Consider the following 27,139-nt stretch of genomic DNA (forward strand, 5'->3'; position numbering starts at 1 on the left):
ACAATAAAATGCATGCTTTTGAAGATAGAATTTTGTGATTTTTAGTAAATGTATAGAGTTGTGCAATGATCTTCATAATTGAGGGTTTTAAAATCTTTTATTTTTAATTTTTGTGGGTACATAATAGGCATATATATTTTTGGGGATACATGAGATTTTGGTACAGGTAGGGAATGTGTAATAATCACATCATTAAAAATTAGGTATCCATCCCCTCAAGCATTTATCCTTTGTGTTACAAACAATTCAATTATACTCTTTTAGTTATTTTGAAATGCACACTTAAATTATTATTGACTATTGTCCCCCTGTTGTGCTACCAAGTACTAGGTCTTATTCATTCTTTCTAATTTTTTTATACTCATTAACCATATGCACCTCCCCTCCAGCCTGCCACCATCCTTCCCAGCCTCTAGTAACCATCCTTCTAGTCTCTACCTCCATGAGTTCAATTGCGTTCATTTTTATCTCCCACAAATAAGTGAGAACATGCAATGTTTGTCTTTCTGTGCCTGGCTTATTTTACTTAACATAATGACTTCCAGTTCCATCCATGTTTTTGCAAATGACTGAATCACATTCTTCTTGATGGCTGACTAGTACTCCGTTGTGTATGTGTACCACATTTTCTTTATCCATTCATCTCTTGATGGACACTTAAGTTGCTTCCAAATGTTAGCTATAGTGAACAGTGCTGCAACAAACATGGGAGTGCAGATGTCTCTTTAATATACTGATTTCCTTTCTTTTGGGTATATACCCAGCAGTGGGATTGCGGGTCATATGGAAGTTCAATTTTTAGTTTTTTTGAGGAACCTTCAAAATGTTCTACATAGTGGTTTTACTAACTTACATTCCTACCAACAGTGTACAAGGTTTCCCTTTTCTCCACATCCTTGCCAGCATTTGTTATTGCCTGTCTTTTGGATATAAGCCATTTTAACTGGGGTGAGATGATATCTTGTTGTAGTTTGGATTGGCATTTCTCTGATGATCAATGAAGTTGAGCACCTTTTCATATGCCTGTCTGCCATTTGTATGTCTTCTTTAGAGAAATGTCTATTCAAATCTTTTGCCCACCTTTTAATCAGTTTAGTTATTTTTGCTATAGAGTTGTTTGAGCTCATTATATATTCTGGTTATTAATCCCTTGTCAAATGGGTAGTCTGCAAATATTTTCTCCCATTCTGTGGGTTGTCTCTTCACTTTGTTGATTGTTTCCTTTGCTGTGCAAAAGCTTTTTAACTTGATGTGATTCCATTTGTCCGTTTTTGCTTTGGTTGCCTGTGTTGGGGTATTACTCTAGAAATCTTTGCCCAGACCAATGTCCTGGAGAGTTTCCCCAAAGTCTTGTAGTTTCATAGTTTGAAGTCTTAGATTTAAGCCTTTAACTGATATTGATTTAATTTTTGTATATGGCAAGAAATAGAGGGTCTATTTTCATTCTTCTGCGTATGGATTTCCAGATTTCCCAGCACCACTTATTGAAGAGACTGTCTTTTCCTCAGTATAGGTTCTTTGTTGAAAATGGGTTCACTGTAGGTGTGTGGATTTGTTTCTGGGTTCTTTATTCTGTTCCACTGGTCTATGTGTCTGTTTTTATGCCAGTACCATGCTGTTTTGGTGATATAGCTCTGTAGTATAATTTGAAGTGAGGTATTGTGATTCCTCCAGTTTTGTTCTTTTTGCTCAAGATAGCTTTGGGAATTCTGGGTCTTTTGTGATTCTATATGAATTTTAGGATTGTTCTGTTTCTGTGGAGAATGTCATTGGTATTTTGATAGGGATTGTATTAAATCTGTAGATTGCTTTGAGTAGAATGGACATTTTAACAATATTGATTCTTCCAATCAATGAACATGAAATACTTTTCCATTTTTTGGCGTCATCTTCAATTTCTGTCATCAGTGTTTTATAGCTTTCATTATAGAGGCCTTTCACTTCTTTGGTTAATTCCTGTGTATTTAATTTTATTTATGGCTATTGTAAATGGGATTACTTTTAAATTTATTTTTTAGATTGTTCACTCTTGGCTGGCATATAGAAACACTACTGATTTTTGTATGTTGATTTTGTATCTTGCAACTATACTGAATTTGTTTATGAGTTCTAATCGTTTTTTGATGGAGTCTAGGTTTTTCCAAATATAAGATCATGTCATCTGCAAACAAGGATAATTTGACTTCTTCTTTTCCAGTTTGGATGCCCTTTATTTCTTTCTCTTGTCTGATTGCTGTAGCTGGGACTTCATCGTTGAGTTTTAGACATTTTCATCACCCTAAGATTACCCATCCTGCTTGAATGCAGTTAATCCCTGTGCCCACCCCCAGCCCTAGGCAATCACAGATATGCTTTGTTTCTCTGTGGATTTGCTTGTTTTTGACATTTTATATAAGTGAAATCAAACAATATTTGGTCTTTTGCATCTGGCTTCTTTCACTTTACATAATGTTTTCAAAATCTGTGTTGCAGCATATATCAGTTCCTCATCCATATTTATTGCTGAATATACCACATTTTATCCATGTATCAATTGATGAGCATTTGGGTTGTTTCCACTCTTTGGCTATTTTGAATGATGATCCTGTATACATTCAGGTACAAGTTTTTATGTAGGCATATTTCTTTTGGCTATGTACCTAGGGGTGGAATTGCTGTGTCATATGGTAACTCCCTGTTAACCATTTGAGGTATGGCCAGACTATTTTCATAAGCTTGATTTCATGAGAAGTACAGGCATAACTTGTTTTTCTCATTATTAGACTGAGGTTATGGGTTTTCAGAAGGAATACCGCAGAGATGAATTGCCCTTTTTATCACACCATATATGGGTTTACATGCTACCCATATGATATCAATGGTGATGTTAACCTTCATCACTTGGTTAAGGTACTGTTTGCCAAATTTCTCCAGTGTGTGGTAACTATTTTACATTCCTATACTCTTTTCTGTAGAAGTAAGTCACTAAGTCAGCCCTGTTCTTAGGAGGTAGAGGACAGAATTAAACTTCACCTCATGAACTGAGGGTTAGCCACATATATTGTTTAGAATTATTTGATTGAGACAATTTGTCTTCTCTGACCCATTTCTTTGTCAATGGAAACACTTAATTTATATCAGTATGGAATCATGTACACTTATCATATAGTTGTGATAGTTTACCAAATGGAAACATTCCAAAAGGAATTCCAGAATTATGATTTGTGTGGTGCAGTAGAAGAATTCTGACCTAATCAGGAGACTGCAAGAGTTCCCTCTATCTACTATTATATTTCACCACCATTATATTACCAAATTATGGCATATTAAACAATCAGACAATGCTTTTAGGCAATATATTTAACCACGACAAATTTTGAAACAACATTTTAATTTCAGGCGATTACATTGCATACTTAGTAATTCCTTCAGAAAGAAATAAAACAATAAACAGAATTTATTGAAGTGATCATAAAAATATTGCTAACATGCAGTAAATCTATTTGCAAAATTCCTTTTATTGAAGCAATAGTATGGGATATGTTGGGGAAATGTTGTACTTCAACTGATAGCACAGTTCCTGTAGCACAGCCTTCACGTTATCTGACTGACTCTTATGGAAGCTATTTTACAATGCTAGCTTTTAGGTAAATATAGCATTGCAATATAATCTTTGTCTATACAAAAGCAACTGAATTTTGTCATTGCGGGGGAAGCTTTGTCTCCATATAGATGTTCATTTTAACACTCTTGATCTATAAATGGGACAAAGGGGTGGCTGTTGGTTTTGATGGGGTTCATTTCAACAGAGGGGTGCGGGAACAAAGCACCATTAGATGAGGAATGAGGACTGAGGTGGAGGGAGGTGCAAAGGGATGTGAGTTGAGTATTGAGAATTCTTCATAGAACTTTGGTTGCAATGGGAGAATATATGTAAAGAGAACAGTAACTAGGGTTGTAGAGAGAGGTCTAGGGTTTTAAATTATGTTTTAAAATTATCAATGATAAGAGGCTCTCTCAGGGTGGAAATATTAAGGAGAAGGAGCCATCTCTTCTTAGGTCTAGAAACTGAGTTTACCACAACCCCCTTACTTCCTTGTTTCTATTCTGGGGAAGTCTAAAACTTAACCAGAGGGATGGTGTCATTTGACTTTAATGCCTGTTAACTATGGGGATGGATAGATGGATGGATGGATGGATGGATGGATGGACAGATGGATGGATGGATGCACGATGTGTCAAACAGGTGCTGGTATTTTATCTTCCAGCACTGAGCTCCTCACACAGGTGACTGAACCCGTGGTTTTGGTGTCTGAGAAGATGCAGCTTCTCCAGTCTCTGCAACTGACGGCAGGAAGATGGGAGCACTCAGCTTCAGTGTTCAGAAGCAGATTTAGGCCAATTGCCATACCTTACGTTCTGGAGGGATCCACCCTGACCTGAGCAGGTGAGGTCACAGAAAGGCTTGCTGTCCATCACAGGGACAGGATTACAGCCTGCTCAGAAGCATGTTGTGGTCCAGCTCTTGTGTCACTTAAAAAGACTCCAGCTCTTCTCTAATATTGAATTCAACTAATATCACAGAGAGATGTTCTTAATCTTCTAGACAAACACACTGCCATCAGTATTCCCCAGAGGCCACAAACACACCCTGGAACCATAATGCCACCAGTAGCTCTAGGAGAACTTGCAGGCTAATGTGCCTGTTGCTCATTGTTTTTAGGCTACATATGAAAATGGACCAGTTTGCAATAAAAATATAATGCAATGATGATTATCAGAGCATTTTGTATACTAGGGAATTTTTTAAGTTATCTGAACATCAAATTAAATATAATGACAATGAAAGAATTTCCACCTGTCATATCATCAAAGTATAAAAAGAAACCATTCAGGATTCCAGTAAGGTGGGCATGCGGGGAAGCCTACCCTGTTTCATATTGGTGGTGGGGATGTCATTTAGTACAACCTCTTTCAAGGTTGATTTGGTAATTTCTATTAAAGACTCTATGCATCCCCGATCTGCATGTGTTTGGGGCCTGCTCCTTCAAGTATTCACCCTCAGCATGGCCCCTGTCCCTCTGAGAGTGCATATTCTTCCTGATACAGGAACTGTCTGCGGACTCGTTTCTAAAGCAATGGCCCAGACACACTCCCTTGTCTACAGAGTAGGAAATTTAGGTCTGACAAGGTTCTCTGTCTTTCATAAGAGAGACAGAACTGGCAGCCTGGCTTCAGAGCTGAAGATACAGATTTCAGTAGTGACCCAGGTCAGCAGGAAAGCAAGATTTGCTTGGTTATGTTGTGATGTGCAGCTCAGCATCACAGTCTGCCTGGGGGCATATAGGATGCTAGTCTCTGCTTTTCCACTTAGTGGCAGGATGCTCCCCAGCCAGGTTGCTTAACCTGCAAACATCCCTGTTTCTTAAGCTACAGGATGGTGTAGAGATTATATCCTCTACCTCCCAGGAATGTTGTGGGAAATTCATGAGATAGAAAAGTACCAGCGTTCAGGAAGGGTGAGTCCCCACAGCTCCGTGAGGCCAGAGATACTGCCCTTCTGCGGGACTTTGTTACAATCACCCTATGACAATGCACAAATAAATGGTCATTCAATTACAAAAGAGTACAAGGACTTATATTTACTCAGTTCATCCAATATCAATTATTATAATAATCAACAGTGTAAATTGGAAAGTAACTACGTGGAAACCACTTCTCCTTCTTTCCCATCTAAGGTCTCAGAAGTGCTTTCCCAGATGTGATCTCATTAACCTCTATATTGATCTGAGAGGTGTTAACCAAAACTGGCCAGCACAGGGGAAATGACTCACCTAAGGCCTTATAATGGGCCTGCCCCGCCATGTTCTATTGCATTGTTTTTCTGCAAAGCCTCATCTTGCGGGGTTACACTATACATATTTTTCCTCTCTTTTCGTTTTACCAAAGAGAAAAATATATACTTTTTTACTGTTAAGAAACATTTTCTCAAATAAGTACGTATTTCATTCCTTACTGAAATGGTTTTTTCTTATTGATCCATTGAAACCATATTGGCTATGTTCAACATAACTAGAGATATCTTTGGTGTTTTCCTCCCTTAGCTTCATATCTTGTAGAACATCTCGTACAAAAAAAGTAGATTTACAGAAAAACATACATATAAATCACGTATTAATCCCCAAATGTAGTAAATAACATAGCAAAAACTTTATCAAATCCATTTCATGCACAAGCTGGACAGATCTGTTATATACAATCTCTATATGCATCTGCAGTGTTTTATAAATTGGTGCTTTGACATTAAAAAGGAGGTTTACAAAAAGGCCCCTCTTGTACTATCGATGACTGAATTATCTCACTATCATTGCTTCTCAAATTTCCTTGAATTTATACTCATCATTGCCATATCACCATTCTAACAAAGGCGGTTATTTTAAGGAAAAAGTTGCAGCGTGATTATGATATAAGTAACATTCAAAATTTCACGTTATCAAGAGTTGAGCAAAGTACTAATTTCCCCTTTATAAACACACGTTTAAAACAAGAGCTTCATGCACATCCAAATAGAAATTCAAAGTCAAACTGTGTAATGTGTTTTTATTGACAGAAGGCATCACACACATTCCCAAGCAGCATGGTTCCCGTGAGAAACTGAAAACTAATTTCTTGAATCTACAATGCGACTTCCATCTTCCAGGTGTAACCAGAGTTTTTCCTGGAGCGATTCCAGCTTGTTTCCTTTTGGTGCCTTCCTTAAGAAATTTTGCAGCTGTTTCTGGTGCAGTTTTTGGGTGGGCTCTGGGGTGGGCAGACGATCTCCACTTTGCAGAGGCTGCTCTTGTGAGTGGAGCTGGTGGTGAGGGAGTAGGAGAGGCCTCGCATCATCCTGGCATTCAGGCCCTTAGCCATGGAGAAGGACTTGAGGTGGCTTCTTAAGGTACTGGGGAGCGGGAGCTTGTCCACCAGATGCACAGGTGTGCAGGACACGATGGTGCGGCAGCAGAGGTCTTGCAAGCTCAGTACCTTGCTCGGCCTCCCGAGCCAATTCATCCTGTGCCGCAGCAGCACTATCCTGGCCAGCTCCGTGAAAGACTCTATGATGTTGAAATTGCACAGAGGGCTGACCTCAAAGAAGGTCACACCCAGGCGCTCGGCGTAGGCCTGGGCCTGCTCCCTGGGCACCTGCCTCTTGAATGCCAGATGTAGGCGATTCCCCACCAGGATTTTAGGGACACCAGGGGCATGTTCCTCAATCTTCTTAATCCATCGATCCATACCCTCGAAAGACCAGCGGTTTGCAATGTCGTAGACCAGGATCACTCCTTGTGCACCACGAGAGTAGGAGCGGAATATGGTACAAAATCTTCCCTGCCCCGACGTATCCCAGAGCTTCAGCTTCACCCGCTGGCCGTCCAGCAGGATGGTGGTCGTCTTGTAGTCGATCCCCCCGAGATGGCTGTACGGGGACTCAGCTGCACCATCCTGCAGGCTCTCCAGGATCTCACTCTTGCCTACGTCCCTGTCGCCCACCAGCAGGAACTTGAGCAGGAAGTCATAGGCCTGGTCGGGGCTGCCCGGGGCGCTCATGGTGCTGGCCCCGCACTCCCGCCTGAGCCAGGCCCGCGGGGTTGTGCGCAGAGGTGGTGCCGGGCCTGTTCTTCTTGAGAAATTAGCATAGAACATAAAAAATGAGATGGGGAAGTCTGTGAAATAAAGCGAAATGAGGTGGTGGCTTTGATGGATTTCTTTTACAAACCCTAGGAAACTGATTCAGCGATTGTTTTCCTTTTTCTTACCCAGCACAGAGTAGTGACACAGCAGTTAATTCATCATGGAAACCTATACATTTCCCTTAAAACTTTCATGTGATCGTTATGGAACCATGCCTTTTGGATTATGTCAAAGGAATCTCCTTTAAAGGAAGGACGGGTATGGGATAGGAAAGGGACTAAGATGTGTTGAGTACTGTACGTACCCTATGCTGTGTATGACGCTTAAAATATTTTGTTCTTTTGCTTTCAGAACAGTTGTCTTTGGTAGCTATAATTGTTTCCATTTTACAAATGAGAAAAGGCAAACTCAGAAATGTTATGTAATTTTTTAAAACATTGCCATTAATATAGAGATCACAGAAATCACAATCCTGAGCCAGTGCTCTCCTCATATAACGCACTACACACCCTTTCTACTCTGTGGCCATGCCGGGTTTAGGAGTAAGTGTGAACTGTCTGTGCATGTGATCCTTGACAAGCCACGCATGTTTACATGGGCACTAATACTTTTCTTGCTGCAGGGGGACATCTCCCATAAATATAAGAGCCAAGATCTCAGAAGAGATATCTAGGACATGGATTTTGCTAGAGTGTCTCATAAATAATATTCACCCAACAAAGATGTGTTGAAATAATGCATGCATCCATCAGTGAAGGGTTTTAGGTTTAACACATGTACAGCTCCTATAACAAAATAACAAAACTGAAAAAATATGTATATGGTTCACAGGTGAAGAAACGCAAATGGCCAGTAATCACAAGAAAATGCATTCTAGCTCACTAATACATTAAAGAATGCTAATGAAACCATCTAAATATCCTTTTATCACCTATCATCTGACAAAATTTAAATGTAGAAAAAAACCGAAAAAGAATTTTTTTTTAATTTGCAAAAGAAAAAGATGCAAAAGAAAAAGGCTCTGTGTGTGTCTGTGTATGGGGGCAGGATGAGGGACCAAATACATCAAGGAAATGGAAACACACTTATCAGTTATAAATACACTTAAATATTGTAACTACAACAGGTACAAAGATGGTTAAAGAAATGAGAATGCTCATACACATATAAGGGAGTTTAAATTATTGAAATCAAGCCCCAAGGGATAGATGTTTACAAATGTAATGGAGGAAAAAATTTTCACATGTCCAAAATAGCCAGGTAAGTGGTTATTTGAAATAGCATTGCTGAAATCTTTTTAAAAAGGAAAAAATGAGAAACATTCTAAATACTCATCAATACAGAACAAACGTGAATAAAGGATAAGAAAAACATTTCTATTTCTCTGTGGGCTTCAGGGCAAATAGAGAAAAAAAAAACCTTTAGATTAATTCCAGATTTAGCTGACAATAAGGAGATAATAAAGTTCTCTCCCTGATTTACACAAACTCCCTTAAAGACAGCACCCTGATTGGAATAATGATCATAATCATCGGTACCTTGAACAGCCGTTAGGATAAAGGAGATGAAATATAGAGTGCATTTGCCTAAAGTAGTTCAGTGCAGGTTACTTTCCTTCTCTTCAGCTCACCTGTCCCAAGGCCAACACCTAAGCTTCTGCCTGAGCCCACTCACCACTTAAGGGATCAGCCAACTCATACGGTCCCACACCCAGTCTCTTGGCATAAAGTGCAGGATTTCACTTCTGTCTTCCTCATCACCCAGAGGGGTTGTGGAGTGGGGGACCCATGGGGCCACAATAGCAGGGGAGTGGAATCTGACATTTCTCAAGCCCTGGAAGCCCATCTTCTAAAAGGGGGTGCTCAGGGTCCTTTAGGGAGGGTGAGGGATGAAACCTCATTCCAATCCTGCCACTTACCTGGGAAGGTGACTTAGGCTCTGAAAGCCTGAGCTTGATTATCTGTGAGATAGAACTGACTGTATCATCCTTACCGAGCTGTCCCAAGGAGCAAATGAGAAAACCTGTTGAGAGTATACGGCATGAAGTGGGACTTCAATGGCCCTTTAAATGCTGAGACACAGAAGTGGGGGCTGGCTGAGCCTCTGGGCTAAGAAGGCATTGTGAAAAGTCATTTTTCATTGTTTCTACTAATGAGAACACAGACATCCATATAAAGAAAGCAAATCTCTCTCTGATATGCCTTGAGTTCAAAGTTTTAGAGACAGAATGTTCTCTACATTCTTGGATGTCTCATAATCTAATAAAAGCTGTTGAACATCATGCCTCTGAGCAGACCCAAATTCACTTCCCAAGCTAGAAAGAAAAAAATTGATTGATAGATGTAAAACAAGACTGTAAAAACATATGCGCCAGGGCATGAAACACCAGGTAGCACTGACAGGGCTGTAGAAAGGTGACAGAGAGGATAGAGGTCACAGGAGCAGGGTCTGGGCAACTGTGTCCATAGGATCCTAGAGAAGGGAGGACTGAAAGGGAATGGGAGGAGGTCTGGGAAGCTTATGCACGGGCAATGGAGGCTAAATGCCCTGCTGTCTGTGAGGGACCTCTCCACAGCATGCACGGGACAACGTATACTGAGGAGGGAAGAGATAAATCAGTGAATGCCATGTAGATTTGGAGTCCACAGCCAATGGACCAGCTTTAATATACGTATATTTTTCAAACAGAACTGGCATCGTAGTTTGTCACTCTTTGCAAAATGTCCTCCTTTAAAAAAAAAAAAAATGGAGATAGCTGTGATGCCTCCTGATGGCCAGAACCCGGATCACAGCTTTGAGAGTCTCAGACAAGGGGCTCAGGGAAAGGGAGAGGGATGTTGGAGGTGAACTACAAAGATATTAGCCAGAGTTTTCTGGAATTATTCACCTAACGATAGCAATCTCTGTGTATTAGTCATGTTCTGGTATATGTGAAACTGAGATTGGCTCCAGCCCCTGTCTGCATTAAAGGTAAAGCTGCATCTGTGAGTGTGTATTTGGAGTGATACAGCTAGACCTAGACACACACACACATGCAAATACCCTGTCAAATTATTTCCTGTTTTCACCATAAAATAGAATATAATGAATGCTTTCTCAAATTAATAAACATGTGCACAGTACTTTTGACAATCTGTTCAAAAGTATTTTGTCACAGCCATAAAAAAGAACAATATAATGTCCCTTGCAGCAACATAGATGCATCTGGAGGCTATTATCCTAAGTAAATTAACACAGGAACAAAAAACCAAATACCACATGTTTTCACTTATAAGTGGAAACTAAACATTGGGGACTCATGGACGTAAAGATAGCAACAACAAACCCTGGGGCCTACTGGAGGAGTGGGGAGAGGTGGGGCAAGGGTTGAAAAACTATTGGGTACTATGCTCACTACCTGGGTGATGGGATCATTCATATCCCAAACCTTAGCATCACACAATATACCCATGTAACAAACCTGCACATGTACCCCCTGGATCTAAAATAAAAGCTGAAACTTAAAAGAGAAGAACATTCTGCCTCCTATAATGAAGAAACATCTCAGCTAACTTATTTTTTGGAAGACAGCAACATTTTTTCAAAGTTTGGGTACATCATTTTTTAAAATTCACTATGCCTCTTTCTTTCAGGTCCATTTCATTGACTACAGAAAGGCATCAGAATATATATATATTTTTATTTTATTTTATTTTATTTTTTGGACAGTCTTGCTCTGACGCCCAGGCTGGAGTGCAGTGGTACAATCTCAGCTCACTGCAACCTCCGCCTCCCAGGTTCAAGCGATTCTCGTGCCTCAGCGTACTGAGTACCTGGGATTATAGGCATGCGCCACCACACCCGACTAATTATTATATTTTTAGTAGAGATGGGGTTTCACCATGTTGGCCAGGCTGGTCTTGAACTCCTGGCCTCATGAGATCCACCCGCCTCAGCCTCCCAAAGTGCTGGGATTCCAGGCGTGAGCCACCACACCCAGCTAGGCATTAGAATTTAACTTCATTGCCTTGAATATTTTAATTAATGTTTTATATTTAATCTTAAAGAAGGGGAAATTTTTATATCATTGAAGAGACACTTATGTTTACAAGAACTTTTAATAATAAAAGCAGAATTTACTAGTAAAAAAGGGAAAGAAATAGAACATTATCTTCACTTCAGGAGCTTCCTTTATGCCCTTACAAGTCATTATACCTCCAAAAGTAAACTACATTAACTTCTAACACTAGAGATTTGCCTGTTTACGAACTTTTCATATTTTATTTACCTGAAATTATACTTTTTTGTTTCTGCTTTGTTTTGCTTAATATTATCCTTGTGAGATATATCCATGATTTTGCATATGGCAACATTAAAATGAGCATTCTAATTGTGGTAGAGTATTTCATTTTATGAATACTACAAGTTATCTGTTGGATGATATTTGGGTTATGCCCACAGTTTGACTAATGTTATAGTACTACTACATACAGTTTTGTGCCTGTCTTTAGTGGGTATATGTACACGATTCTGTTGAGTATATCAAAGATTGGAATTGCTGGCTCATAGGTATGCATATAGTTAGCTTTAGCAGATATTGCCAAATGATTTCCCAAACTGTTCTCACCAATTTACTTTCAGTAATAGTATATAATGGTTCTATTTGCCCCTTACTCTTTTTTTTAGTCCATGGGGTTACTGTAGTATCTCATGACAATTTTAATTTGCATTGTCCTAAAAACTAAAAACGTTAAGCGCCTTTTTATACGTGCAGCTGTCGTATGGGATTCTTATATTGTAAAATGCCTGTTTACTTCTTTTGCTCATTTTCTACTTTTCTCCTTGTTTCCAAAAAATTGAATCACTGTATATATAAAATCTTTCACTCTGTATTTCAATATTTTCTTTCTTAAGAGTATGTTTTGAAAGACAATCTTTAATTATAATGTAGCTCAATTTATTATTATTTTTTCCTTTGGGATTAACAGTTTTTTGTCTAGTGATTATTTGCCACCCCAACTACATAAAAATATTTTCCTCCATTGTTATAGGTTATTCTTTTACTTTTGCATTTAGACTGACAATCTACCTGAAATCAATTCTTGTACGTATCTAATTTAGGTAGCATACTTAAAATATCATCCTTCTCCCTTCACTGCACTGTCACCTGTGTCATAAGTGAAAATGACCACATATGGATTGGGTCTATTTCTTGACTCTATTAATAAAGTCCATTGGCCTGTTGTTTCTATCCTTACACCAATTCTACATTCTCTTAATTACAATAGCTTGTTTCTTTAGATCTCAATTAAAAAAATTTTTAATAGCTTCAGGAGTACAAGTGGTTTTAGTTATAAGGATCAATTTTATAGTGGTGAAGTCTGGACTTTCAGTGTACCCTTCACCCAAATAGTTTACATTGTACCCAGTAGGTGATTTTTCATCCCTTACTCCCTTCCCTCCCTTACTCCCACCTCCCCCTTCTGAGTTTCCAGTGTCCATTATTAATTATAATAGCTTTATATTTTAATCTTAGTTTGTAATATAATGTTTAAACTTTGTCTTTTTTCACAAAGGTTTTAAAAAACTGACATGCTTTTAAAAAAATATATGATTTAAGTCCTTGGGGAATAAAATTTAAATCCAAACAGATCTATTTAAAACATAATCCAACATATTTTACGACAAATGAATAGATCATTGCCAATTCTTTACTTGCCAGTTAAATTTTTAAAAACCCTAAACTCCTTACTTAAAGTATCTTGTGTGTTCAAATATTCACTAAAATACTTTTATTCTCAAATATGAAACTTCAAAAACTATACAAGAGTATATTCACAAATCAAATTTAAACTGCACCTCTCACTGGCCCAACTCCCATCCCTTGACCCCAAGGGGTCTGTTGTCCCTAGAATAGTGCACACTCTCCAGATGTGCCCCTGTAGGTGAGGTGCACATCAACACATTCACCTTCACACACAGTCTTCTCCAAAAGTACAATCATAGTCCTCATTTTTTGCATCTTGTCATTATAAATTCTCAGGATTTAAAAATATTTGCATCTTGTTAGTTCTTGTGGTTTTTGTAATTTTTTTTAATTTTATTTCTTCTAAAAAAATGGGATACATGTGCAGAACGTGCAGGTTTGTTACATAGGTATACGTGTGCCACGGTGGTTTGCTGCACCTATTGACCCATCCTCTAAGTTCCCTCCCCTCACCCCCCACCCCCCAACAAGCCCCGGTGTGTGATGTTCCTCTCTCTGTCCATGTGTTCTCAGTGTTCAGCTCCCACTTATGAGTGAGAACATGTGGTGTTTGGTTTTCTGTTCCTGTGTTAGTTTGCTGAGGATGATGGCTTCCAGCTTCATCCATGTCCCTGGAAAGGACATAATCTCATTCCTTTTTATGGCTGCAGGTTTTTGTATTTTTTAATGTTTATTGTTCATGTATTTACTTATTTAAATTTTCTGTTCAAATCATTGCCAATTGTTTTGTTACCAAGTATGTTTCACAAATCACAGCTACTAACCCAGTATCTGAGATGTAGTTTACATATGTTTTCTCCCTTGTTTTAATACAGTCTTTAGTGGTTTTTTTTCCTTTGGAAAGTGTTTTAAATTTTATTAATGGGACCTAAACATTATACAGGTCATATTTAAAAGGAAAAAACATTAAAAAACACCTGCGGAGTAGATACTGCCAGCGTTGAAGGAGATTAGAGCACTCAGAGTTATGGAGGCATCAAGACAAAATGAAAATAACAACTGAAAAAAAACCCTTAAGTAATTCCAAAGTTAACTGCTGATCAGGAGATTAAAAAGTTTTCTCTCTAAATTACATAAACTGTCCTTAAACTTAGTTTCCTGATTTGAATAATTATCAGAATGATGGGTTAAATGGTTGTTAGGGTAAAAGCAGATGAAATATAGAGTGCATTTGCTTACAGTAGTTCAGGGCATGTTACTTGCCTTCTCTCCAGTTCACCTGTCCCAAGGCCAACACCTGAGCTTCTGCCTCAGTCCACTCACCACAAATCAAATTTAAACTGCACCTCTCACTGGCCCAGCTCCCACCCCTTGACCCCAAGGAGTCTGTCATCCCTAGAATAGTACACACTCAGGTCTGCAGGTTTTTGTATTTTTTAATGTTTATTGTTCATGTATATACTTATTTGAATTTTCTGTTAAAATCATTGCCAATTGCTTTGTTACCAAGTATGTTTCACAAATCAGGGATACTAACCCAATATCTGAGATGTAGTTTACAAATGTTTTCTTCTTTGTTTTAATACAGCCCTTAGTGGGGTTTTTACACACTAGGTCTACACCCAGGTCTCTTGGCACAAAGCACAGGATTTCACCTCCTCTGTCTTCCTCATCACCCAGAGGGGTTGTAGAGTAAGGACCTGTGGGGCCACAATAGCAGGGGAGTGGAATCTGACCATTTCTCAAGCCCTGGAAGCCCATCTTCTAAAGGGGAGGTGCTCAGGGTCTCCTAGGGAGGGTGAAGGATGGGACCTCATTCCAATCCTGCCACTTACCTGGGGAGGTGACTTAGGCTCTGAAAGCCTGAGGTTGGTCATCTGTGAAATGGGACTGACCATACCATTCTTACTGAGCTGTATGAGGGGTTAATGAGAAAACTTTCCCAGAGAATATGACATGAAGTGGGACTTCAATGGTCCTTTAAATGTTGGAACACAGCAGTAGGGGCTGGCTGAGCCTCAGGGCTTAGGTAGTCATTATGAAAAATCATTTCTCATTGTTTCTCCAGACGAGAACACAGACATCCAGATAAAAGAAGCAAATCTCTCTCATATGCCTTCAGTTCAAAGTTTTAGAAACAGAATGTTCTCTACATTCTTTAGTGTTTCATAATTCATAAATACTGTTCAATATCATGCCTGTAAGCAGACCCAAATCCACTTCCCCATGGTGGTAAGACAGGCATGTTTGTGAACTCACCTGGTGAGCTCCATGCCAGATCGCATCCGGGACACAAGGGGCAGTGATTGTCTAATGAGTGCTCCAGCACTGTTTAGTGTGTGTGTGTAGATATATAGATATAGATATGAATATTCTGGACATATCCTGCAGTCACCTGTGCAGGGTCCTCAGTTCATGCATAATTCAGCTACATCACATCAAAATTTCAGCAACTTGCTGCCTTCCTGAGAGACAAAAATCCAGGAATTACTGGCATTTCTGTAACACACGATTGTCCACTCTGTTATTAGGTAATAACTAAATATGTATTGAGCTCGAAAAACATAGTTCATTGGAGGTATCTCATTAACTCTAAAGTGGAAATAAGAGAGCAAGAAGGGAAATGAATATATGGGCAACTTCACAGGTTAAATCTGAGATGAGACGACTTCTTCACGTCAACTTTTAAACTTGCTCAAATTTCAAGGAATTGAAGTTTTTAAAAATCTCTTTGGATCCCTCATCACCCAATCAGCCACAGGATCTCTCTCTCTCTCTCTCTCTCTCTCTCTCTGTCTCTCTGTCTCTCTGTCTCTTCTTTCCCCTCCCCTCTCCCCTAACCCCTCCATTCTTTCTCCTCTCCCCTTTCCTTCCCTCCCCTCTCCTCCCCTTTCCTTCCCTCCCCTCTCCTCCCCTCTCCCTCTCCCCTAACCCCTCCATTCTTTCTCCTCTCCCCTTTCCTTCCCTCCCCTCTCCTCCCCTCTCCCTCCCTCCCCTCTCCTCCCCTCTCCCTCTCCCTGTCCATCCCCCTCTTCCTCTCCCTCCCTCCTTCCCTTCCTCTCTCTTTTCTCCTTCAAAGTCAAGAACCAAAAAGAGTTTTCTGCATTTTCTGTTAACAATCTTCACTTCCCACTGATCCTTATCCCACTGCACTATGGTTTCTGTCCCCAGAATTGTGATGAAGATGCTCTCCAAGGTCACATTCCACCTGTTTTTCATTATGACCAGTTTTTTCATCATGAGCAGTTTTTTTTGTATAAATGTATTAACATATGAAATATTCCTTTTTTTTTTTTTAAGACGGAGTCTTGCTCTATCACCCAGGCTGGAGTATAGTGGGGCAATCTCGGCTCACTGCAACTTCCACCTCCCGGGTTCAAGCGATTCTCCTGCCTCAGCCTCCTGAGTAGCTGGGATTACAGGCATGTGCCACCACGCCTGGCTAATTTTTGTATTTTTAGTAGAGACAGGGTTTCACCATGTTGGTCAGGTTGGTCTCAAACTCCTGACCTCGTGATCCACCCGCCTCAACCTCCCAAAATGCTGGGATTATAGGCATGAGCCACCGTGCCCAACCGAAATATTCCTTTTAATGAACTCCTAAAATATCCTTGCTTGTCCAGTTGCATCTTTCACCTAACAACAGAGATTTCACAATTTCTCAGACTCGGGAGCATGATGTACTGGACATAAATCCAATTGTCCCACTCCCTAACTGTGTGGTCTCAGGCAAAGTCCTTATTCTCTCTGTCCCTCAGTTTTTCATCTATGAAATGGAGATTAGCCACAGGATCTACTTTGTGAGGGAACTACGAGCACCAAATGACTCAATACCTAAAAATCACTCAGATCATAACATATTTTAGACATTTTTATTTCTTTTTCTCTATCTTTATGGGCCATTAGTATCTCTACTATCCCTATGGTGCAGCCTGATATTTACTCACAACCTTTCATGTATGTTGTTTGTTAGCTTGTTACAAAAGTAAATAGGATGAAAGTGAGTAGAATGAAACTTTGTCTTTCACAAATACATATATAAATGCATGCAGTTCTGCTTAAATATATAAATACCTGAATAAGGAAACTTCTAAAAGAATTTATACAGATAAACTCATTACCAGGACTTGTCTTTGAGTGTTCTGTTTGGGAGTGATGTTATTTATTTCCTCTCCTAAGCTATCTATTTTTAACTATAATAAATAGCTACTGCTTTTGCAATTATACAAAATAATAAAATGGTGGTGAAACTTAAACATTTTCAGCCCTAAGCACAGAAAAGACACTGATACTTAGAATGAGGAATGTTCCTGAGACTCAGAAAGGGAGAGAAGATTTTGTGGGAACCTCATCTACATTATAACACGGCATATTTTCCCCAAATTCCCACTCACACTGATAATTATCAATTTTAATTTTTGCCTAGTTAACTGGGAAAAATCAAGGTATTATCATTTGGTTGCATTTTGTTCCCCCAAAAGATACATTGATGTACTAACCCCAGATACCTTTGAATGTGACCTTATTTTAAAAATAGAGTCTTTGACATGCACACGTATGTTTATTGTGGCACTATTCACAATAGCAAAGACTTGGAACCAACCCGAATGCCCATCAATGATAGTCTGGATAAAGAAAACGTGACATATACACCATGGAATACTATGCAGCCATAAAAAAGGATGAGTTTGGCCGGGCACGGTGGCTCATGCCTGTAATCCCAGCACTTTGGGAGGCCGAGGCGGGCAGATCATGAGGTCAGGAGATTGAGACCATCTTGGCTAACACAGTGAAACACCATCTCTACTAAAAAAAAATACAAAAAAATTAGGCAGGTGTGGTGGTGGGCGCCTGTAGTCCCAGCTACTTGGGAGGCTGAGGCAGGAGAATGGCGTGAACCCAGGAGGCGGAGCTTGCAGTGAGCCGAGATCATGCCACTGCACTCCAGCCTGGGTGACAGAGCGAGACTCCGTCTCAAAAAAAAAGAAAAAAAAAAAAGGATGAGTTCATGTCCTTTGCAGGGACATGGATGAAGCTGGAAACCATCATTCTCAGCAAACTAACACAAAAACAGAAAACCAAACACTGCATGTTCTCACTCATAAGTGGGAGTTGAACAATGAGAACACATGGACACAGGGACGGGAACATCACACACCGGGGCCTGTTAGGGGGTGGGGGCTAGGGGAGGGATAGCATTAGGAGAAATACCTAATGTAGATGATGGGTTGATGGGTGCAGCAAACCACCATGGTACATGTATATGTAACAAATCTGCACGTTCTGTACACGTACCCTAGAACTTAAAGTATAATAAAAAGAAAATAGAGTCTTTGCAGATGTAATCAAGTTAAGATGAGACTATTAGGGTGAGCTCTAATCCAATATGACTTGTGGTCGTATAAGATAATGAAAATGCCACTAAAGACAGAGACACACAGGGAGAGCAATATGTGGTGACAGAGGAAGAGACTGGAGTGATGTCCCTGCAAGCAAGCAACATCATGGATCTATGGCCATCACCAGATACTAGGAACAGGAAAGGAAAGATTCTTCCCATAGACTCAAAAGGAGCAAGGCCCAATTGACACCTGGATTTCAGACTGATATTCCTTGAGTTCGATGTTTTGTAGACAGAAGGTTATTGACATTCTTGGGTGTTTCAAAAGTGTTGCATCCAGAACTGTGAGAGACTAAATTTCTGTTATTTTAAGCCACAAGTTTGTGGTACTATGTACAGCAGCCATAGGAAACTAATACAAAGCCTTAGTTTTGGTTAGCTGTTTTTTTTTTTTCTGTGCCCTGATCAACAGTAAGGCTGGAGATCTAATGAGCAGGAGTAGCACATGCTGGTTAGATAAATTTACTGGGGAGCCACACAGCCTGTGTTCAAATCTCAGCCTCACAACTTGCTAGCCCTGCCCTTGTTGTACCCCAGTTCTCTTGTGTTTAAAGTTGGAAACAACCGCTCCTCTTTATAGATGGTGGTGAGGATTAAATGAAGTATAGATTTAGAATTACAGCAGTTGCAGGAACTGAGAAAAATCACAATAAATATTAACCATTTCTATCATTATTTCATACCCGGATTGACTAGTACTGTTTCTACTGCCATTTTTTATTATAATGTGGATTTTAATTTGTTAGCATGAGTTGACCTTCACAATATATATTTGTCATAAAAAAGCAGTTTACAAAGCTAAAAGTAGGATACTATTTTATTTCTATTCTTAAATATATAATTACATTTGCATAATATAACTTCTGAAAAAAAATTCAAATCTTGACAGTGCTTATCCATGCATAATAAAATTTTAAGGTTTTTTAAAGATTTTATTCCCTTCAGGCATTTTCCATTTTTATCTAGAAGAAAAGTGTCTTGGTTTTGGAAGTGAAAAAAACAATAAAAACAAAATACCCCTGCCCTTTTCAAGGAAAGTTGCTCACCGTTAGGAATGATAACATGTGTAAGCCAAGACAATTAGGTACTAGGGTGGTCCTAGAATTAAAGTATGAATCTATATACATGACATCCCCAGGTGGGCAGGTTTAGGGAAATTACAGACACCCGGGGGAAGGGCAAGCACGTCTCTCAGATGAACCTCACATTCAACAGCCAGATGACATTTCTACTTTTCAAGATTTTAGTGAAGGTCATGAGATGAAAGTGGTTTCACAACATGCTTCTTTCTGCACTAGCACAAATAAAGTCCTTTGAATTGACAGCAGGCTCCTCTGTTTACCCACCTAGTTGGCCAAGCAGTGACTGCCACAGGGGAGGGAAAGGGGAGGGACTGCATGAAACCACTAGGGCTCAGCACCACAGCTTCCAGAGGACAGAATCCTAACACAGCGGGATTCAGGGTAAAAGTAGAGTCACAGTCTCACTCGGCCCAGGGCCCCAGGAGTAATCAACACACGTATGAAGTACCTCACTTATACAATTAAAAATATTAAACCGAAAGAAAATATACACATGCCAATCACATGTAATAACAAATCATATCAAGTTCTAAATGGGATGCATACCTAAACTAACCGAGGGATTTGGATAGTAGATTGGACACATAAAAACCAACTCCTGGCAATCACTGACTTTTTTTCACCAAGACTGCCCAGATTAGTTCCAGATTTACAGACATAGATGTGTAATAGCATGAATAAAAGTTGGGAAATTATGCCTGGACAATGGGAAGATATTTCACATTCGAGATACACTGCAAATCCCAGCTACTTGGGAGGCTGAAGTGAGAGAAACACTTGAGCCCAGGAGTTCTAGGCTGTAGCGTGCTGTGATTGTGCCTGTTAATAGCCACTGCACTCCAGCCTGAGCAACATAAGGAGGCTAAAGAGCTCCTGTCTCAAGAAAACACACACACACACACACACACAGACACATTGCAACATTGTTTTGGGCTGGCTGTCACCTGGGAAACTCTTAAGACTTTGAACACATCACATTTTTTTTAAATGACTGAAAAATGATATGTACCAATTCTGTTAGTGCTCTCTATAGCATGTAAACTGGAAAAGTGGTGTGTCTGGTTTAGTAGCTCTGAAAGACAGTACACATGTAAAGAGGCATATATGGCAGGTCACAGTGTTGAGATATGAATGGGTATTTGTTCTTCTCATGTTTCTTCCTTTCTCCTTTCCGTCAGATAGCCAGACAACTACAGATAAAACACGCAACAAAATAACACCATATTTCATGCAGAAATATATACATATGTAACAAAGGATAAATAGTGAAAAGTCTAAATGCTTGTTAATGATTACTCCTTTGTAAGAAGGAGGCTAATGCAAGCTGAAGAAACTTTGAATTTCTTTTTTTTGTTGTTAAGACAGGGTCTTACTCTGTCACCGAGGCTGGAGTGCAGTGGTACAATTATGGCTCAGCACAGCCTTGACCTCCCTGGCTCAGGTGATCCTCCCACCTCAGCCTCCCAAGTAACTGGGGCTACAGTCCTGTACCACTATGCTCAACTAATTTTTGTATTTTTTTGTACAGATGGGGTTTCACCATGTTGCCCAGGCTGGTCTCAAACTCCTGGTCTCAAGTGATCCACCCGTCTCAACCTCCCAGAGTACAAGGATTACAGGTGTGAGCCACTGCACCCAGCCCAGACTTTAAGTGAATTTCAGTTGTACATATAATGGTTTATTTCTTAATATGAGTATATACAGTATATTCTTTTTGTAAGTTTCTTTATGTCTAAAATATTTCAGAACAATAAATGTTTCTATGACTAGTTCTGATTATAAAAATGATTTGTATCAATTTAGAAGTTGTGAAAAATATAGTTATGTCCAGAAATAAATATATAATTAATCAAGTAATCCTATTACTCATTAACTTAAAAAAAGAGTATTATGTTTGTATATTACCCCCATTATACTCTGTATGTATGCATCATAATGTACATTCATTGCATGTGAGTCTAATATATTGAGACATTCAAGATTTGCCAGACAGCATGAAATGAGTTATTAAATGATTCCAAGTTCAAACTAAACTCTGACTCTCAAGTCACCATCCCTAACCATTGGGATATACAATCTTTTTCTGAATAAGGGCTGTGTCCAGCTCAGGGAAAGTGTCTTCTAGACAAGGACAGGTCTGGCATTCAGTCCCCAGGTCTCCTGTTCAGTCTGTTGTACAGAATACTCATCTTTATGCTCTTTTATTCTGTACTGCCTCCTTTCTGGGGTTGAAACAAAGGTTTCTATTCCAGTGTCAAAATGGAAGGTAAAAAGGAATAGAAGAACACATCAAATAAAAAGTAACGAAGTGATTATTTGATCCCAAACTTCCACCATTCTCAGGTATCTCATCCACAAAGAAATGTCACCAAAGGTTCTATAACATATGAGTATGTTTGTTTCCTTTCCCAATGTTTCAAATTTAAATAATCTCTGTGGGATGTTCATGTTTAAGTCTTTTGAGGAAGGGAAAACAGAGGGGAGACCAAATATATATTTATTGAAGTATTATGTATCAGATGGTTTCTTTAGTTTTGCTCATTTCTCATAACACTCCTGTGAGGTAAATAGCAATATGCTAATTTTATTGATGAGCAAGGTAAGGTTCACTAAGTGTAACTCACTACCATACCATCATACAATAGAAAAGAGTGAGTACTCATCCCTCATCCCAACTTCATCACATTGCATAGCACAGAGATGGCACCTAACCTCCTACATAATATAGATGAGTGTGTGTGGTTCCCTTACATTCCCAAATACTCACTAAAATATAGTGATGCTATCCAGATTATGAAACAACATCCCTGTTAAAGATCAGAAGAGGTGAGATGGGAAGGAAGCAAACACTGGCACTGTGAATGACACACCAAATACCGTGCCAGCATCTTGACAAAGATCTCCCCTTGAACATGTCATAATGCTCTCTTGAGTGTAAGGATCAGGTGTATGTGTGTTTGTGGTGAAACATGCAAAACAATACTATGTTTTATTTAGGGAAGCTCTCATATGGAATAAAAGGATAAAGCAACATATGGGAATTATAATCATTGCTTTCTGGGTGCTGATTATCTATAGCAGAGACGGAAGGAGATACAATTAGGGAGGAGTAAAGGTTTTCCTAAGCTGGACTAATTTCATAGTTCTCTCTGTTTTTTATCTGAAACATTTCACAAGTAGCAGAGGTTTTAGGGGATATAGTTTTTATCATAAATACAGACATTCCCTGACTGTTGATGTTTTGACTTATAATTTTTCAATTTTATGATAGTGTGAAAGTGGTACACATTCAGTAGAAACTGTACTTCAAGTTTTAAATTTTGATATTTTCCTGGGCTAGCAAAACGCAGTATTATACTCTTGTGATGCTGGTTAGGGAGCAGCAGTGAGCCACAGCTCCCAGTCAGCCATGCAATCACGAGGATAAACTACTGAGACCCTATAGTGTACAGTGTTGCCAGGATTTTTTTGATATTGTATTTTCACATCTCATCTTGTCTACAAATGCCCATTTTTGACCTACAATTATTTTCAACTTACAATGAGTTTATCAGGATGTAACTCCCATAGTAAGTCAAGCATGGGGTATGGAGTATGTACAATCCATACTCTCACCTTAGCAAATGTTTAATATTGAGCCAAATGCAGAGGTTAAAAATATCAATAGCCAGCAATCCCATCATAATTAAAATTAACATGGTACTAGATCTTTCTAAGGATTTTTTATACATGGATATATGCACATGTACTGTACATGCATTACAAATACAATTCATAAAGCTGTTATAATTATATGTACAGTATAGCATCCTGGGTTTTTTGTTGTTATTTTCAGTTTTGCTTTTGTCTTAAGTACTAACATGTGGATGAAACATTCTAAGTACATGACAAGGTATAAGATATAATCTAACTTTGCTTTTTAATGAACCCTTTACAGCTGGCCCAGACCCAATTCCTTAACAATGCATTTGAGTAGAAATGCCATACTTGCAGCATCTTAAATGACGTTATATGCCAGGGTCTACTCAAGAGCTTTCTTTAGACTTCTTTAACCTGCATGTCAACCACTCTGTCCAAAACTTATGAAATTATACGCTCAAAGAACACTTTAATACCTGGCAAAGTAATCCCCACTTTTATCATTCAGTCTTTGTATGCATGATAGGAATAATAATAAAAGACATAAATAGTTACAGGGCACACGGTAGATAAATTGGTTGATACAGATCATGCAACCAGCAAGTAATGGTTATCAGGGTCAAATCCAAGTCCTTCTCACCCAAAAGCCCCCTCCCCTAACCACTATTTCTATACTGAGTATCCTTCTGTGTTAGACCAGAGGCCAACAGAGGGAAGAGACTCACCCCAAAAACCACAGTCAGTTGATGGGTCGAGTAACTAGGGTACAAATCTGATGACTCCTGTCTTCTGTCTAGCTGACTCATTATTATTCTTTGCTCTTCTGTACTATTTCTTCCTCCCATGGCTCAATAAGAACTCCTTCACCCACGTCACACTAGAAAGAAAATAAGAGAGCAGAGAGTACATGGAATCAAAGGAATGATAAGATAAAACCAACATTCATTTATTGCTACTATATTTCTAAATGCTCTCTGTTTCAAATCTTCTATTTCATAGGGCACAATTATTTTATCTTGGAACCAACAATCTTCGGAGAATGTATCCCAAAGATACAATTCAAAAAGATAAAAAGGCAGAAGCACAAGGTCATTCTTGGCAGAACAAATTGTAACAGCAGAAGACTGGAAATAAGACAGATGTCCACCAATAAAGGACTGACTGAATAATCTAAGGTGCATCTACATCCTAGATTTCAATGCCGGTATAACAAGCAAGGAAGATTCCCTCTCTCTGCTGCTATGTAGTGATTTCCAGGATATACCATTAAGTGAATAAAGCAAAGTGCAGAAAAATGTGTAGAGCTGCTGTTGTCCCATACCATACCCACTGGCCACTCATGGCTATTTAAGTTAACTAAATTTAAATGGAATTTTAAATTCACTTCCTCAGTCACACTCACCACATTTTAGGTGTTTAATAGTCACAGGTAGCTAGTGGCTACTATGTTGGACAGTTGAGACATAGAATATTTTCACCTTTGTAGAAATTCTATTGGACTCCACCAGTGTAGAATATGTCACCTTATATATATGGAATAGGAGAAAACTAATAGAAACATTCTATTTGCTTATATTTTTAAAATTGGAAAGTTTTAATGAAAATTGATTTAAAAAATCATTACCTATAAAGAGAAGGAAAAACAGCCCAGGACAGAAGCCAATAATGTCTTTTCCCTTAAAAATATAATATATATACACTGGCTCCATGCACTAGAAAGGTGAAGAAACATGATAGACCCAGTAGCAATGAGCAACTCTAGTGCCCATATTGAATCCACTTAAAACACATCACACTGAAAGGAACTAGGTTATCTTAGAGAAATGACTGAGTTTAGGTCTGTGTAGCCATTCTACTAGATGAATCTGGACCAAACTATCATGCCAGAGAGTGCGTCAAAAAGACTCAGAAGCCAAGCTTAAGGGGCTCTCGCTGGACAAAGATGAAGCAATTTGAACATTAAATAAAATAATGACTACTATGGATTAAAACACATTATAATATAAAAACTTCTACAGCTCATGATGACACTCTAAAAGAAAAATAAAATAAAACAAACAATATCAACTCATTGCTTGCCTTTGGAGAACCCTAGGGAAACAACTCATTGTTTTGAAAAGTGGAAATATTGCAAAAGAATTAGGCACTCATCCAACCCTTTCTATACATACTATCCCTCAGTGTAACCTAATGGTTTATGAAAGTTTATTTAATAGAATAATTCCAGCTAATAAAGCAGAGAAAATTATAGAATTAGAATATCATCCTTTTATGACCTTTAATGAATATAGAACTAAGCAACAATCCTTAGACGCTGCAGAAAAATCGAGGTGAAAAAGGGATGGGAAATTTTATAATGGATGGATCAGCTTAACAATACTTGAACATAGTAATTAATCTTAACATCACAAGAGGAGAGACAATTAGACACAATGAGCCCCCTGTGTAACACTATAGGAATAAACAATACCACATATGAAGTACTTCTGACCAAAACAAATCTAAATTGAATCAAGCCTCTGAATCTAACACCATTTTGTTAAATTTTTTTATTATACTTTTAAGTTCTGGGATACATGTGGAGAATGTACAGGTTTGTTACATAGGTATACACGTGCCATGGTGGTTTGCTGCACCCATCAACCCGTCATCTACATTAGTTATTTCTCCTAATGGTAATATAAAAAGAGAAAGAAATACTTGGAATTTGATTTGGAAAACCTTTCTCCTGTAGCCAGTCCACCTCCATGTGCTTGATACAGTTGACACTTCTTACCCTACAGGAGATTATTCAGCCTATCAGCCAATCTAGAAAATAAAATCATGAGGATCCATGTTTGGTGGTATAGGAACTATTAAGTTTATATTGGAACATTTTGCAAAACATGTTAAAATTAAGTTAAAATGAATGTGGCTCGAAATTAGGATTGTAAGATTTCGGATTTCAACTCAGTTTCCACAGAGAAGTTTGGTTGACCTAAATTTTAAATATGTTAGGAATAAGCCCCTGCTGCACATCATTATATTCAAAGTTCTCTGTAGCTTCATTTGTGAAAACAAATGGATGAATGGGTATATATTTGTAAAACATGTCTTTGGGATAAAAAGGCATTTTGAGTTCTTGGTTTTCAGGATGTTCCTTCTGGTATTCTTCAAATAAATGCTTCTATAGTATTATAAAGATAATTTCATTAACCTGCTAAAATGGGAATGTATTTGTCTATAGCTACAAGGTAAAAAGTGTTATGAATAATAATTTTAAGATGACAGATATTAAATAGTTCAAATATTATTGATAATAAGATTTTTTTAAAAAAGAAAATATATGTTCATCCAAAAGAATGAACATGAACATTCATAACACCATTATTCATGAGATGTCAAAAACTGGAAAATACACAAATCTCCATCACAGATAAATATAGTGTGAAATATCCAAATAATATAATACTTTACACCAATGAGAATAAGCAATCTACAATATAGACCACAATAAATATTAATTTCACATACATTATGTTGACTGAAAGAAGCAAGACACAAAAGAGCACATGCTGTATGATTCCAAGAATTTCTCTTCTAACCTCCCAATAGAGATTGGGGCAGGAGAGGAATATCAACAACTCATTTCCTTTTATTTCAAGGTACTTAGTGTCTTTTTATGTTATCTGTAGCTTA

General features: G+C 38.5%; 1 protein-coding gene and 1 long non-coding RNA gene across 10 annotated transcripts in view; one reads left to right on the forward strand and one right to left on the reverse strand.

Annotated features, from left to right (window-relative positions):
- LL0XNC01-250H12.3 (uncharacterized) overlaps positions 1-24,756 on the forward strand; it is a 113,164-nt gene extending 88,408 nt beyond the window's left edge. For 5 of the 7 annotated variants that reach the window (NR_188433.1, NR_188436.1, NR_188435.1 and 2 more), the window contains 2 exons: positions 4,248-4,426; positions 6,590-7,715. This is a non-coding gene — a long non-coding RNA (uncharacterized LL0XNC01-250H12.3). Of the gene's footprint in view, positions 1-4,247; positions 4,427-6,589; positions 7,716-24,460 lie in introns of those variants that run through there. The other 2 variants (NR_188439.1, NR_188440.1) reach the window with 1 other exon arrangement.
- Positions 79-26,302, reverse strand: RAB40A (RAB40A, member RAS oncogene family). Of its 3 annotated transcripts, NM_080879.3 has the most exons (3): positions 26,183-26,302; positions 24,187-24,338; positions 5,943-7,639 (listed from the first exon to the last, which is right to left on the reverse strand). In NM_080879.3, the coding sequence occupies exon 3, from the start codon at positions 7,567-7,569 to the stop codon at positions 6,736-6,738; it is 834 nt and encodes a 277-aa protein (NP_543155.2). In that variant the 5' UTR covers positions 7,570-7,639; positions 24,187-24,338; positions 26,183-26,302; the 3' UTR covers positions 5,943-6,735. The 3 variants fall into 3 exon arrangements, with proteins under 3 accessions (XP_047297799.1, NP_543155.2, XP_047297800.1); XM_047441843.1 differs by lacking the exons at positions 24,187-24,338; positions 26,183-26,302 and adding an exon at positions 9,572-9,695 and having other exon boundaries at positions 79-7,642; XM_047441844.1 differs by lacking the exons at positions 24,187-24,338; positions 26,183-26,302 and adding an exon at positions 9,572-9,695.

Source organism: Homo sapiens, chromosome X (genome assembly GCF_000001405.40).
Source record: "Homo sapiens chromosome X, GRCh38.p14 Primary Assembly".
Classification (NCBI taxonomy): Eukaryota; Metazoa; Chordata; class Mammalia; order Primates; family Hominidae; genus Homo; species Homo sapiens.